The 13,714-nt window shown below is 55.1% G+C and overlaps 1 annotated feature.

The window, feature by feature from the left end:
• Window positions 12,628-13,452: an enhancer, noted in NCBI's record as "H3K4me1 hESC enhancer chr11:2148496-2149320 (GRCh37/hg19 assembly coordinates)". NCBI's record gives its function as "activates a minimal SCP1, AML or CMV promoter by ChIP-STARR-seq in naive H9 embryonic stem cells {active_cell/tissue: H9 hESC(naive)}" and the evidence as "EXISTENCE:reporter gene assay evidence [ECO:0000049][PMID:30033119]".

The following is a 13,714-nucleotide window of genomic DNA, read 5'->3' on the forward strand; positions in this document are numbered from 1 at the left end:
CGCAGAGAGCACAGCCCTCGCCTCCTTGCTAATCACAAGCAGAGAGTGGCGGGTGCACGCCTCCTAGCTGGACGGGCCCTGCCCCAAGTTTCTTCTCATGCACAACGTTCAGTGAGGAACTTTCCAGAACGTGCCGGGATGTCAGATCCCAGTGCTGCAGGAAGGAGTTTCCGGGGAGCGCTGGGTGAGCGGGAAAGACCAGGAGTAAGGAGCCGACCCCCTCAGGCTTCCTCTCCCATGTTTTCCACAAGGGAGCCCCCCAGGCCCAGAGGCGCTCAGGGGAAGGCCTCGCCCAAGCTGGGCTTGCCGTCTGCCCTGAGCGCCTGGAAGTGCTCGTGCTCTGAGACAGTGCCAGCTGATTCCCCGACTCATGCCCCGGCATTCCCAGGACAGGGATGCATGGAGGGCCTGACCCAGACACCCCTGGGCACACGGGCCCTGGCCTGGACCCAGCGTTCAGACAGGAACTGGGCCCTAGTGGGAGGATCTTGCCCAGCTGAAAGAAGAGACGACTCAGCCCTGAGCCAGCCACACCTGATGGGGTCCTGCTGGGGCACCACAGAAGCCCTTCCTCGCCACTGCCCAGTGGTGGGTTCAGCGGCGGAGACTGGCCTGTTCTGGGAGACAGAGAAGGGAGGCCGCACACAGGATACTGGCCTCCCTCCTCCAAGCCGCCCTCCTTCCTTGAGGGATCTTCCAAGCTCCAGGTGGTGTTTCCTGGGCCTGAGTGGGGGAGATGCCTGGTGGAGGAGGCGTAGAGGGGAAGGGAGGGGCACCAGGGCCAGAGCAATGGCCCAGAGGGGACACACACAGGGCAGCCTCCTGGTCGCACCCTGAGTAACCCCGGCCTGCCCCTCACTCGCCGGCTGCGGTCTCAGTCTTCTTACCTGGCGGGTGGGGCTGGTAAGCACAGAGCCTGCCCCTGACACATGGGGAGCATTTAGGGAGACACACACAGAGGGCTCTCGGTACGCCCAGCCCCATGAGCGGGAGAAATGTGATGCGAAAGCCCTACCTTCACACCCAGAGTCTGGGGAGGCAGGAGAGCTGGGCAGCAGGCTGGGTCCTCCACCTGCGTAGTTCAAAACTGTACCCTCAAGCAAGCCCTCAGGCCTGACCTGGGGCAGTAGGGAGACCCCAGGTGGGGTCTAGAGCTGGTGCCAGAGGGTCCTAAGCCTCAGAACAGCTTGCCCTTGGCCTCAGGTCAGCAGTGAGGAGTGGAGGCAAACCCTAGGGCTGCCTCTCTGAGTGGCTTTCTGAGCTGGCCAGGGTTGGGCAGGAGGAGGGTGAGGCTGCTTCCATTTCACCTGCACCCAGAGCTGTACCTGGTAGAGGAAGGAAGAGATGACTGTGCTGAGGCCGGGAACTGCCTGGAAGACACAGGCCCACAAACATCTCTGGCCTCAGCCTTGGGAGGCAAGATGGCGTGGGTACTGCCTGACCACAGGAGGACTTGGGGGCACTGGGGTGAGCAACCCCACGGCCCTGCTATTCTCCGCAGCCTGACATCATGCCATCAGGGCAATGGACTCCTTGTTGGCTGTCTGTGCCTCCAGCTGTGAGTCTGCAGTTGCCCGTCTGCTACGTGGCCAATGCCCAGCACAGTGGCTAACCTGGGGCACTCAAGAACAATGGAACGACCATCAACAGGTCCCTGTCTTTCTCAGTTGGCCATCAATTAAAATGCGGAGAATAGCTCTACTTTTGAGGATGAAGTGATAGAACAGATGTACAGCAGGTAGCACAGGGTGACACCCTGTCTGTGGAAACTTCTGGAGTGAAGGCTGGCTTGTAAGGACTAAGACTTGCCAGATAGCAGGTTCATTAGATGTGATGGAAGGTAAGAGAGATGGGGACTGCTAACACCCAGAATTCTGGTGTCAACAACTGAGGGGCTGGGATGGTTATTCCTTGAGATGGGAGGAAGAGCTTCACATGCTAGTGGATAAACTGAGCAGGCATTGGATCTACGTGCCCAATCTCAAGAGGGCGAAACAAGAGTTCCACGTTTGGGAGTCTTCAGGACATATGCCATCATCAAAGCTGTGGTGTGGAAGAGTTCATCCAGGGGGTGAAGTTGGAGGAAGGGAAGGATAGAGGAAGCCCAGGCCAGGATGAGGCCAGTGCTTAATGGAAGGGAGAGCAACAAGGAAAACAAAATGACGGGACAGTAAAACTGGACCAAGTGGCCACAGGAGCCAAAGGGATAGCACATTTCAGGGTTTAAGGAATGTTATTCCATTGTCTTCCAGCCCCCATGGTTTCTGACCAGAAGTCTGTGGCAATTCAATTCACCATTCCCTGCTATGTGGTGCCTTGTTCTCTTCTTTCAAGATTTTCTTTTTTAATTTTCATTTTTATCCATTTGACTTTGATGAGCCTAGGCATGATTTTCTTCAAACTGATCCTATTCAGATTTTGTTTCTTCAAATTGATCCTATTCAGATTTTGATGAACTTCTTGAATCCATAAGTTTATGTTTTTAAAATCAATTTGAGAACTTTTTCATCATTATTTCTTTAATATTTTTTTTTCTGCTCCATTTGCTCTCTCCTCCCCTTCTGGAACTCCAATTTCCTATATATTAATTTTTGGGGTTTTTTTTTCTTTTGAGATGGAGTCTCACTCTGTCACCCAGGCTGGAGTGCAGTAGTGTGATCTTGGCTCCCTGCAACCTCCACCTCCTGGGTTCAAGTGCTTCTCCTGCCTCAGCCTCCCGAGTAGCTGGGATTACAGGCACGTGCCACCATGCCTGGCTAATTTTTGTAGTTTTGGTAGAGATGGGGTTTCACCATGTTGGCCAGGCTGCTCTTGAACTCCTGACCTCAAGTGATCTGCCTGCCTCAGCCACCCGAAGTGCTGGGAATACAGGTGTGAGCCACTGCACCTGGCCATCTGTTAAGTTTTTAACACTATTCACATGTACTTGAGTCTCTTTTCATGTTTTTAAAGCCTTTTCTCTCTCTCTCATTTTCGTATTGAGTTGAATAACTTCTATTGCTCTGTCTTCAAGTTCACAGACTTTCTTCTGTCCTCTCTACACTACTGATCCTTTCATCCAGTATTTTGTTTTTTACTAATTTCAGAGAGTGTATTTTTCAGTTCAAAACATCAATTTAGATATTTTTAAATATTTTCTACTGGTCTGCTGAAATTTCCTGTCATTTCATTCACTGAAAGTGTATTTTTCTTTATCTTCATGGGCATAGTTATAATAGAGGCCTTGTTTGATGATTCCAACATCATGGCTGGCCTCAGTCAATTGTCTTCCCTTGAGAAGAAAATACCGGTTTCTGGCCCTGACATATGTCATACAGTTTGGGATGGCCTCCTGGACTTTGTGAATATTATGTTGTTGGAGACTCTGAAATGTCCTGTATTTGTCTGGAGAGCACTGATGCATTTGTTTTAGCAGGCAATTAACTTGATTAGCTGCCAGTTGCAAAGAGTCTCACCTGAGGTGACAGGAGTCCCAGTCTCAGTTCAGATTGCTTTCTGCCCCATACCAGAAACCAGGGCAGATTTGACACATAAAAGGCCCTTCTCTAGCCTTTTTTGAGAGTCTCATCTCACTCTCCAGCGACTTTGATTGCCTCCAGCTCCTTTCCTGCTTCCTCTGGCCATAATAATGGCAGGACTTCTTTTAATCCCCTCTTTTTTTCACAGGTGTTGAACATGGCAGGCATTCTATTGGAATTATAGATACCCACACCATACCCTGACTACCCCATCAAAATCTACCTGCTTTTGCTAACTTTCTAGAGTCCTTGGTAGTTTCTGTTTGTTTGTGATTCGGGGTTTACAGTTGTTATGTGCAGGAGTGCTGGTTTGTTAAAGTTTGCTACTCCATACTAGAAGGAGAACCAAGAGAAGTTTCCGAGTGGGGAGTGAGAGCAAGCGGGTGAGCAGGAAAAGGCTGCTGAGTGGTCAAGTCTAATAAAAAAAAAAGGGTGCCCTGAATTTGGCTACAAGAAGGTTGGTGGTTGTCGTGAAAAGTCCTCTCAGTGGGTGAGGAGATAGCAGGAAACTGAGGACTAGGTATCTTCTCTTATGTTGAGGAAGTTTCTTTTTAGTCCTAGCCTGCTCAACACGGTTTATAACTGGTAGTGCATTTTAGATTTTATTACATACGTTTTTGGCACTTCTCAATATTATCATATGGTTTTTCTTCCTTTGGCTTATTAGCATCATGATATTAATGGATTTCTTCATGTTGAGTCATCCTTGCGTTCCTGGAAACAAACTCTACTTGGTCATGGTGTGTTATTACTTTAATTTAATACACTGCTGGATTTAATTTGCTAATTCTCTTATTGACAATTTTTGCATCTTTCTTTACATGTGACCTTGGACTGTGGTTTTTCCTTTTTTGTGCCATTGTGTTTGAGTTTTGTTAATCAGGGTTATGCTAACACCAAAAATGAATAGAAACCGTGTCCATCTTCTACACTTGAAACATTTTGTATAGTACAGGCATGATCTTGAGTGTTTAAAAAACTTTCCCGTGGAACACTCTGGGCCCTGTGCCTTTTTCTGGGGTAGCATCTTGTAACCCTCAGTTGACAACCTGGTAATTGGTATGTTCAGATTTTCAGATTTTTCTTTTTCTTTTTTTTTTTTTTTTTGAGACAGAGTCTCGCTCTGTCACCCAGGCTGGAGTGCAGTGGTATGATCTCAGCTCACTGCAACCTCCGCCTCCCGGGTTCAAGCGATCCTCCTGCCTCAGCTTCCTGAGTAGCTGGGATTACAGGCGTGCGCCACCACATCCGGCTAATTTTTATATTTTTAGTAGAGACAGGGTTTCACCAAGTTGATCAGGTTGGTCTCGAACTCCTGACCTCATGATCCGCCTGCCTTGACCTCCCAAAGTGCTGGGATTACAGGCGTGAGCCACTGAGCCCGGCCGATATGTTCAGATTTTTCTAGGTCCTCTTGAGACAATTTCCAGGTATATGTTCACTTAAACAAGACCTTTACATTTCATTTTTAAAATTCCTTTTAATATCATTCCCAATAAATTTCATTTAATCGACAAATATCTTTTAATCTCTATGATGTGTTGGATCCTAAAAACAGGATATATTCAACCTGAATCAACACATAGAATCTCTATAAGCACAGACATACAATGGATTACAGTCTCTTTGCTCTCTTCCCTCACAAGGATCATGTCAGAAGAGAATCCAGGTAGACACTTGTTGACCTACAGCTGACTTGCACCTATCCACACATCCATTTATCCATCCATACATCCATTCACCCACACACACATCTATTCACCCATCCATCACCCACCCACTCCATCATCTACCTATCCATACATCTACCCATCTGCCCATCTGCTTATCCATCCACCAACCCACCCATCCATTCATGGAGCCCACATTGAAGGTCCAAGGCTGAGAAATATAAGCTAAGTGGCTGGAAGACCAAACTGATACTTTAAATGGCCTCCACAGGCTAAAACCATGGACAGAATAGAACAAGATAAGACGATGTTCTGGGATCCAGGGAAGATCTGAGTGAATAATTTACAAGGTGCTAGCCGGGCCCCTCCTCAGCCCTGCTGTTTGTTACATTTATGTTGATGTGCCACTTCCTAGAGTTGTTTTGAGGGCAGGAATGGAACTTTATCCATCTTCATGATTCTAGGGCTTTGTACAGGGCCTGGCATATGTGTATTGAACAGATGATGAAGGCAGGAAGGACCAGAGTGTCGTGGAAGGTCCCGCACAGAGCCCGGAACATGGGACATGTGGCCGCTGAGGGCTGGGTGCTGGGGAGGGTTGCGGCTGCTTGCTTCAACACCACAGAGGGCTCCAGTGTAGATTTCTTTCCCTCCCACAAAGCTCTGAGCCCAGGTCCAGGGGTGGGGGAAACCCCTGTGGTCTCAGCCCGCTCCCACCTGCTGGGGCCGGCCAGCCCTCAGCCACTGCAGCGCCACGGAGCATCAGGAGAGGCCTCGAAAGTCTTCCTCCCCACAGTGCTGCTGAGCTGGGGCCAGGGACCAGGCTGGGGCGTATCCTAGGCCCCGTCCTCGGCAGGAGAAAGGTGGGGGTGGGCACTGCTTGTCTTCTCCCCCACTACCTCCACCGACTCTGCAGAGAACCAATTTGCCTTATCAGAAATTCCCGAGAGTGGCTGGCTAAACCAAATAGCTAGGATTCCTGCTCAGAGGCACATCTGTTCCTGATAGACGGGAGGCCAGGGACGACAAGGCAGGGGAAGGGAAGCAGAGGTACTCGGCCAGACCTTCCCGAAGTGATGCTCCCAGCCAGGCGGGGGAGCCAGCCAGCCTGAGAGTGGGCAGACCTGGGTTGCCCCCAGGGCCTGAGGCAGGAGGAGCTCCCTGCTCCCCATACTCCCCCCAGCTGAGGAGCCAGGGTCTGCATTTGGTGGGGCTGGGGGCAGGGTGGAAATGACCCCATCCGTGCATGCGTGCGATGCTGCTGGGCCACACCGAGCTCCTCCCAGCTGGGGTGCCTCCCTGCGCCCGGCCCAGCACCACCCCTTCCACCCCACCCACCCCACCCGCTAGTGCACCTCCAAACCCTCTCAGGCTCCAGGAGTTCCCACACTTAGACCATCTCTCCAGAATTGATGGCTAGAGTGGCTCACTCTCCCCTTAAAAGCCCCTCCCCGCCTCCCAGAGCTCACTGAAGGTCAAGTTCAGCTTCTTGGCTCAGCACCGAGGCCCTTTGAGCTGCAGCCATCTCCCTCCATGTGTGCACACCTGTGCCTGCACATGCGGTTCCCTGTGCCTAGAACGCCCTTCCCACCCACGTCCTGCCAATGCCCACGCTCCTGTCCGACCCCGCGGGAGGAGCACCCCTGTCTGCATGGTCTTTCTCAGCCCCAGACCTCCAGGTGCCTTTGCCTCACCCCGCTCACACCACCAGGTCCCCTTGGCCCAGGAATTCCTTCTTCTGAAGCCCTGGCTCCCCAGCACCAGGAGCAGGCATAGCCAAGTGCGCGAACAAAGAATGAAGACTGGGAGGAGGCGATCAGGAGAGGGCAGTGGAGGAGGCTGGAAGGAGAGAGGGGCAATTCTGGCTCTCCGAGGACTCCGAGGAGGACTCCGAGGAGGCCTGGGGAAGGTGAAGGTTTGCACCACTTTTCTGTCCCCTGGGAGAGCCAGGCACGTGGGAACAGTCTGAAGATGGGGAGGGGCCTGTTCTTGCTTCCAGTCATGGCACCTTGGGGTCCCACCTGCCCCCTACCACTGGGCTCCAACATGTGCCTGCACCCCCCTCCCTCAATGCAGTCTGGGGCCACCCTCCTCCACACCCACCACCCCACTGACACCGCCACTCTGGGGCTGCAGGCTTTCAAGGGCAGAGGCATCCCCATCTCTGTGTGCTCCACGGCCGAGCTGAGTCAGGGGGTCTCAGGCTTTGGACAATCAAGGAGGGAGGAGGCGAGAGGATGGAGTGCAGTAGAGGGGGTGGGTAGGTAATAGGTCCTGTCACCCTGAGGGTCTAAGCACCTGTCTATGTGAAGGGGGTACTGAAAGGCAGACTTGGAGAGGGGTTCCCTGGAGGGAGCGGCTGCAGGCGGCCGCTCTCCTGCCATCCTTCCCTGTGTAGCCTGTGCAGGCAGCATGGAGTCCCCACTCCAACTCCCAGATGGACATGCACCCCGGTACCCCCAACCCCCAAGACACATCTCATTCAGCCATCCCCCAGAGGAAGCAAGCCCCACCCTCGCTCCAGGTCTGTGGTGCGGTCCCCTCTCCCCGGCCTCAGCAGCCCCTTCCACCGAGGAGGAGCCCAGCACGGAGGGCACGGCACTGGGGAGAGGGCCGGGCTGGCGGCCGGAATGTGCCGCGGCCAGTGTAAACAGATCATTTCTGTCTGCCTTGGGGGGAGGGCTGGGAGCGGGGAGGGAGTTGTCTTGGGCTTTGTTATGTTCTGAAAAAAAAAGGCAAAAAATTTGGGTCACAAACCACAAACTGTTTTGCTTTCGGCATGACTGGCATAAACAGGCATTTTCTCTTTGGTTTCAGGCCGGCTGAGGCCTGGGCTGGCTGGGGCTGGGAGCCGGGGGACAGGCTGGAGACTACACTCTGAGCCTGGGGCTGCAGCCCCGGCCTGGGCCAGAGGGGAGTGGGCAGGGCCAGGGGCCCAGCTGAGAAGGTGGAGACCAGGCTTGAGGGGTGGGGCTGTCAGCCTGTGGGTGCCAGCCCTGGCCTGGCCGCACCTGTGTGGGAGCTGGGAAGAGCGGGGACCCTGGGGGCCAGACCCAGAGGGACAGGTTCCTCCAGGATGAGGCCTGCTGAGCGGGCCGGTGGGCAACCTCAGCAAGGATGCCTGGCAGCTGGGTCTCCCCGGCAAGCTAACCCGGGGGGCAGGGGGCAAGCTAACCTGGGGGGCAGGGGGCAGGGGCCAAGCTAACCCAGGGGCAGGGGCCAAGCTAACCCGGGGGGCAGGGGCCAAGCTAACCCAGGGGCAGGGGCCAATCTAACCCGGGGGGCAGGGGACAAGCTAACCCGGGGGGCAGGGGACAAGCTAACCCAGGGGCAGGGGGCAAGCTAACCCAGGGGTAGGGGGCAAGGGGGAAGCTAACACAGGGGCAGGGGACAAGCTAACCCGGGGAGCAGGGAGTTAGCCATTGGTGGGGTGCCAGAGTCCCTCGAGGCACCCTCCAGGGCCTTCTGTCTGACCCCTCTGGTCTGGGAGCCCCAGACAGAGCCCCAGGGATCCTGGAGAGGACTTGCCAGCAGGCGTCTTGGGACCATGGTTAGCAGTGTCTCTGGCGGATGGTGGGGGGCTCAATGCCAGAACAAACAGGAAGGGAGACCAGGGAGGCCAGACTCCTGGGGGTCAGGATGGCACAGTACAGCAGAGGGCGTGCGTGAGTTACCAGGACAAGGGTGATACCAGAGGGCCTGGGCAAGAGGGCAGCAGGTGCAGCCTGGGACTGGGAGTGGAGGGGTGGGTGGGAGGACCAGGGATGGGGCCAGGTGCTGGAAAGCCTGGCCAGGGCCTGGATTTGCCAGTGGCCCACGGGATTCACGGAGGGCTCTAAGTGGAGAGAGGCAGACTCTGGCCCCACTGCTCTGGTCCCATATGGAGCATGGCCAGAGGGGCTGGCTCTACAGGAGGCTGGACAGCAGCAGGGGCCAGGGCCTGGTGGAGTCCGTGGATCTCCTCAACTAACTCAATGTGAGGTGTGGTGGAGGGCAGTGGTGGACCGGCAGACGCATGCTGGGTGAGGGGTCTGCAGGACATCCTGGAGGAGTGAAGCTGGCCACAGCAGGTGCCATTGGAAGTGTGTCCTCTTCATTCTCAGAGCGTTTGTGGGACAGGTCCACACGGGCTGCCATTGTGCAGAGGAATTCCAAGGCAGACTCCATGCCGAGGGTGCAACCACGCCAAGATGACCTGGGCAAAGGTCTGCAGGGGAAGGGGTCTAGGCAGGGGCAACCCAACCTGGGACCACTGTGGCTGGGCAGGTGTCATAGCGGTGGTGGTGATGGGTAGTGTGGGTCAGGTGGCCTCATGGGTCATCATGAGGGTGTTGCTTGTCACCAAGGAAATAAGGTACCACTGCTGGACTATGAACCGAGCTGTGCCACGAGGCCACGTGGGTGCTGCGTGGAGGTTGGGTTAGGGTTAGGGTTAGGTTAGGCTGGAGTGCAGTGTCTGTTCACAGGTGCCATCGCAGCTCACTATAACCTTGGACTCCTGGGCTCAAGTGATCCTCCTGGCTCAGCCTCCTGGGTAGCTGGGATTACAGGTTCGAGTCACTGCACATGACGGGACAGACCTTTCTGAGGGCCACAATTCACCCCATGGCCTCAGGGTCCCATGGTGTCTGTTGAACAAACGGCATGGCCTATGCAGCCCAGGCCATCTGCCCCCCATTACAGCTCTGACCTCAGCCCCCTACACAGGCCCTCCACCTCTTCCTGCTGCAGCTCCCACCAACCCAAACCCCCGACTTCCTGCTGTGGCTCAAACACTCCCAGACCACTCATGTTTTATCCCTGTGAGGAAGAACGCTCTTTCTGGATGCTTCATACTCCTTCCTCAGCTCCTTCCAGTCTCTGCCCCCACGCCAACTTCTCCATGAGGCCTCAGCTCCGTCCAGTCTCTGCCCCCACGCCAACTTCTCCATGAGGCCTGTCTTGCTTAAAAGAGCACCGAACACCTTTCGCTTTCTTCCCTCCATGACGCTGAGCTTATCTCTTGGCTGAAAGTCCAGCATGTGGGTAGTGCCTGTCCATGTGTTTGTATACGTGGATGAGTGGGTGGGTGGATGGAGGAGTGAGTGGATGGATGGATGAGTGGGTGAGTGAGAGTCAAGTGGGTAGATGGACAGATGAGTAGACAGATGACTGGGGGTGGATGGAGGGCGAGTGGATAGATGGATGAGTGGGTGAGTGGGTAGATGGATAGATGAATAGATGAATAGATAGATGACTGGGTGGGTGGATGGAGGGTGAGTGGATGGATGGATGAGTGGGTGAGTGGGTAAGTGGGTGAATGGGTAGACGGATAGATGGATAGATGACTGGGTGGGTGGATGGAGGGTGAGTGGTTGGATGGATGAGTGGGCGAGTGAGAGGTAAGTGGGTGAGTGGATAGATGGATAGATGAATAGATAGATGACTGGGTGGGTGGATGGAGGGTGAGTGGATGGATGGATGAGTGGGCAAGTGAGAGGTAAGTGGGTGAGTGGGTAGATGGATAGATGAATAGATAGATGAGTGGGTGGGTGGATGGAGGGTGAGTGGATGGATGGATGAGTGGGCGAGTGAGAGGTAAGTGGGTAGATGGACAGATGAGTAGACAGATGACTGGGGGGTGGATGGAGGGCGAGTGGATGGATGGATGAGTGGGTGAGTGAGAGTTAAGTGGGTAGATGGACAGATGAGTAGACAGATGACTGGGGGGTGGATGGAGGGCGAGTGGATGGATGGATGAGTGGGTGAGCGGGTAAGTGGGTGAGTGGGTAGATGGATAGATGGATAGATAGATGAGTGGGTGGATGGATGGAGGGTGAGTGGATGGATGGATGAGTGGGTGAGTGGGTGAGTGGGTAGATGGATAGATGAATAGATGAATAGATAGATGACTGGGTGGGTGGATGGAGGGTGAGTGGATGGATGGATGAGTGGGTGAGCGGGTAAGTGGGTGAATGGGTAGATGGATAGATGGATAGATGACTGGGTGGGTGGATGGAGGGTGAGTGGTTGGATGGATGAGTGGGCGAGTGAGAGGTAAGTGGGTGAGTGGATAGATGGATAGATGAATAGATAGATGACTGGGTGGGTGGATGGAGGGTGAGTGGATGGATGGATGAGTGGGTGAGTGGGTAAGTGGGTGAGTGGGTAGATGGATAGATGAATAGATAGATGAGTGGGTGGGTGGATGGAGGGTGAGTGGATGGATGGATGAGTGGGCGAGTGAGAGGTAAGTGGGTGAGTGGGTGGATGGACAGATGAATAGATAGATGACTGGGTGAGTGGATGGAGGGTGAGTGGATGGATGGATGAGTGGGTGAGTGAGAGTTAAGTGGGTGGATGGACAGGTGAGTAGATAGATGAGTGGGTGGGTGGATGGAGGGTGCGTGGATGGATGGATGAGTGGGTGAGTGAGTGGGTAAGTGGGTGAATGGGTAGATGGATAGATGACTGGGTGGGTGGATGGGAGGGTGAGTGGATGGATGGATGAGTGGGTGAGTTTGTGGGTAAGTGGGTGAGTGGGTGGATGATGAGTGGGCGAGTGGGTAGATGGATAGATGAGTGGATGGGTAGATGGGAGGGTGAGTGGATGGATGGATGAGTGCGTGAGTGAGTGGATAAGTGGGTGAGTGGGTGGGTGGGATGGATGAATAGGTGGATGGATGGGTGAGTGGATGGGTGGGTGGGTGGACTGTTGGGTGGACGAATAGATGGGTGGATGGATGAGTGGGTGAGACTGGGTAAGTGGGTGAGTGGGTAGATGGGATGGATGAATAGATGGATGAATGGGTGGATGGGTGGAGGGGTAAGTAAATGGATGAATGAGTGGGTGAGTGAGTAGTAGGTGGGGTGTTTGTGGATGGGATGGATGAATAGGTGGATGGGTGGGTGAGTGGATGGTTGGGTGGGTGGATGAATAGATGGGTGAATGGGTGCGTGGGTGAGTGAGTGGGTGAGTGGGTGGAAGAATAGATGGATGAGTGGGTGGGTGGATGGAGGGGTGAGTAAATGGATGGATGAGTGGGTGAGTGAGTGGTAAGTGGGTGGATGGGATGGATAAATAGGTGAATGGGTGGATGGTGAGTGGATGGTTTGGTGGGCAGATGGACCAGTGGATGGATGAGTTGGTGAATGAGTGGGTAAGTGGATGGGTGGAGGGATGGGTGGATGGATGGGTGGAGGGATGGGTGGTTGGATGGTTGGATGGATGGGTGGAGGGATGGGTGGATGGATGGGTGGAGGGATGGGTGGATGGATGGGTGGCTGGATGGGTAGGGGATGGGTGGAGGGATGAGTGGATGGATGAGTGGAGGGATGGGTGGAGGGATGGTTGGATGGATGGGTGGATGGATGGGTGGAGGGATGGGTGGAGGGATGAGTGGATGGATGAGTGGAGGGATGGGTGGAGGGATGGGTGGATGGATGGGGGGATGGATGGGTGGAGGGATGGGTGGGGGGATGGATGGGTGGAGGGATGGGGGGATGGATGGGTGGAGGGATGGAGAGTTGGAGCTGCCAGGATGAACTGAGAATTTGCAAAGCAGGGAGAGGGGAGAAGAGAGGGCCCTGCAGTCTCAGAAGCCCTGGAATGAGGCTGGGCCCAGTGAAGCAGGATGAAGGCTGGGCAGCCCTGAGTGGGTGTCAAGAGACCAGGCTAAACCCGGGGGAACCAGGGTGAGTGGCTTTGCCCAGTTCTGCAGAGAGGTCAGGGAAGGTCACAAGGGGTCCGGGGAAGCAGAGGGCAGGCAGGCTGCAAGTGAAAGGAAAGAAGCTGCACAGAAGCTCCTGGCTGTGGGCAAGAGTGGCTGAGCAGGCCCAGGGTGCGGGGAGAGCCAGTGTGGAAGTGACCTGGGGCCAGTGGGGACAGGAGCAGGAGGGCCCAGGCTCATGGGGCTGGAGGCTGGGCCCTGAAGCAGACCCAGAGAGGAAGCGAGACCATGAGGCCGGCCCTGCGTGGGCCTGGGGGACTGCAGGGCTGGGGGAGGGGCACAGGGCAGAGCTGCCTGGGCTTGCAGGGAAAGCAACTCCACCTGGCCTCAGGAAGGTGGACAGGACTAGGCTTCCATCTACATCTACAGAAGGGCCTCAGAGCAGCCCCGACCCCCTGGGGGTCAGCAATGCCACCTGGGCCCTGGACCCTCCAGCTTAGACCTAGCACTGAGGTGCAGAGCCAGGGACCAGCTCAGGAAGGGCATGGTGCCCCCCATATCCAATCTGCTCTTCTCCAACCCCCAGCCCTCCTCATCTTCAAGGCTAATCCCTCCTCCTCCAGGCAACTCCCCAAACCACCGCCCACCCTCTCCCTTCCCTTGGAGTGGTTCTCAGATGGTGTGGGCAGTGACACTGTCCGTGTAGACGTGTCCCCAGGCCTCAGAGGCTTGGGTGACAGCCCAGCACCCTCCAGTGCCCGGCACAGGAGAAATGCTAGGGACAGAGGCAGCCATCAAGGGACAGGGCTTGACCAGGGGCAGACCCTGGGGGCCAGGATGCAAGCACGCCCCCAACCCAGTCAGGCCCCTCCCCACC

Source organism: Homo sapiens, chromosome 11 (genome assembly GCF_000001405.40).
Source record: "Homo sapiens chromosome 11, GRCh38.p14 Primary Assembly".
In the NCBI taxonomy this organism is placed as follows: Eukaryota; Metazoa; Chordata; class Mammalia; order Primates; family Hominidae; genus Homo; species Homo sapiens.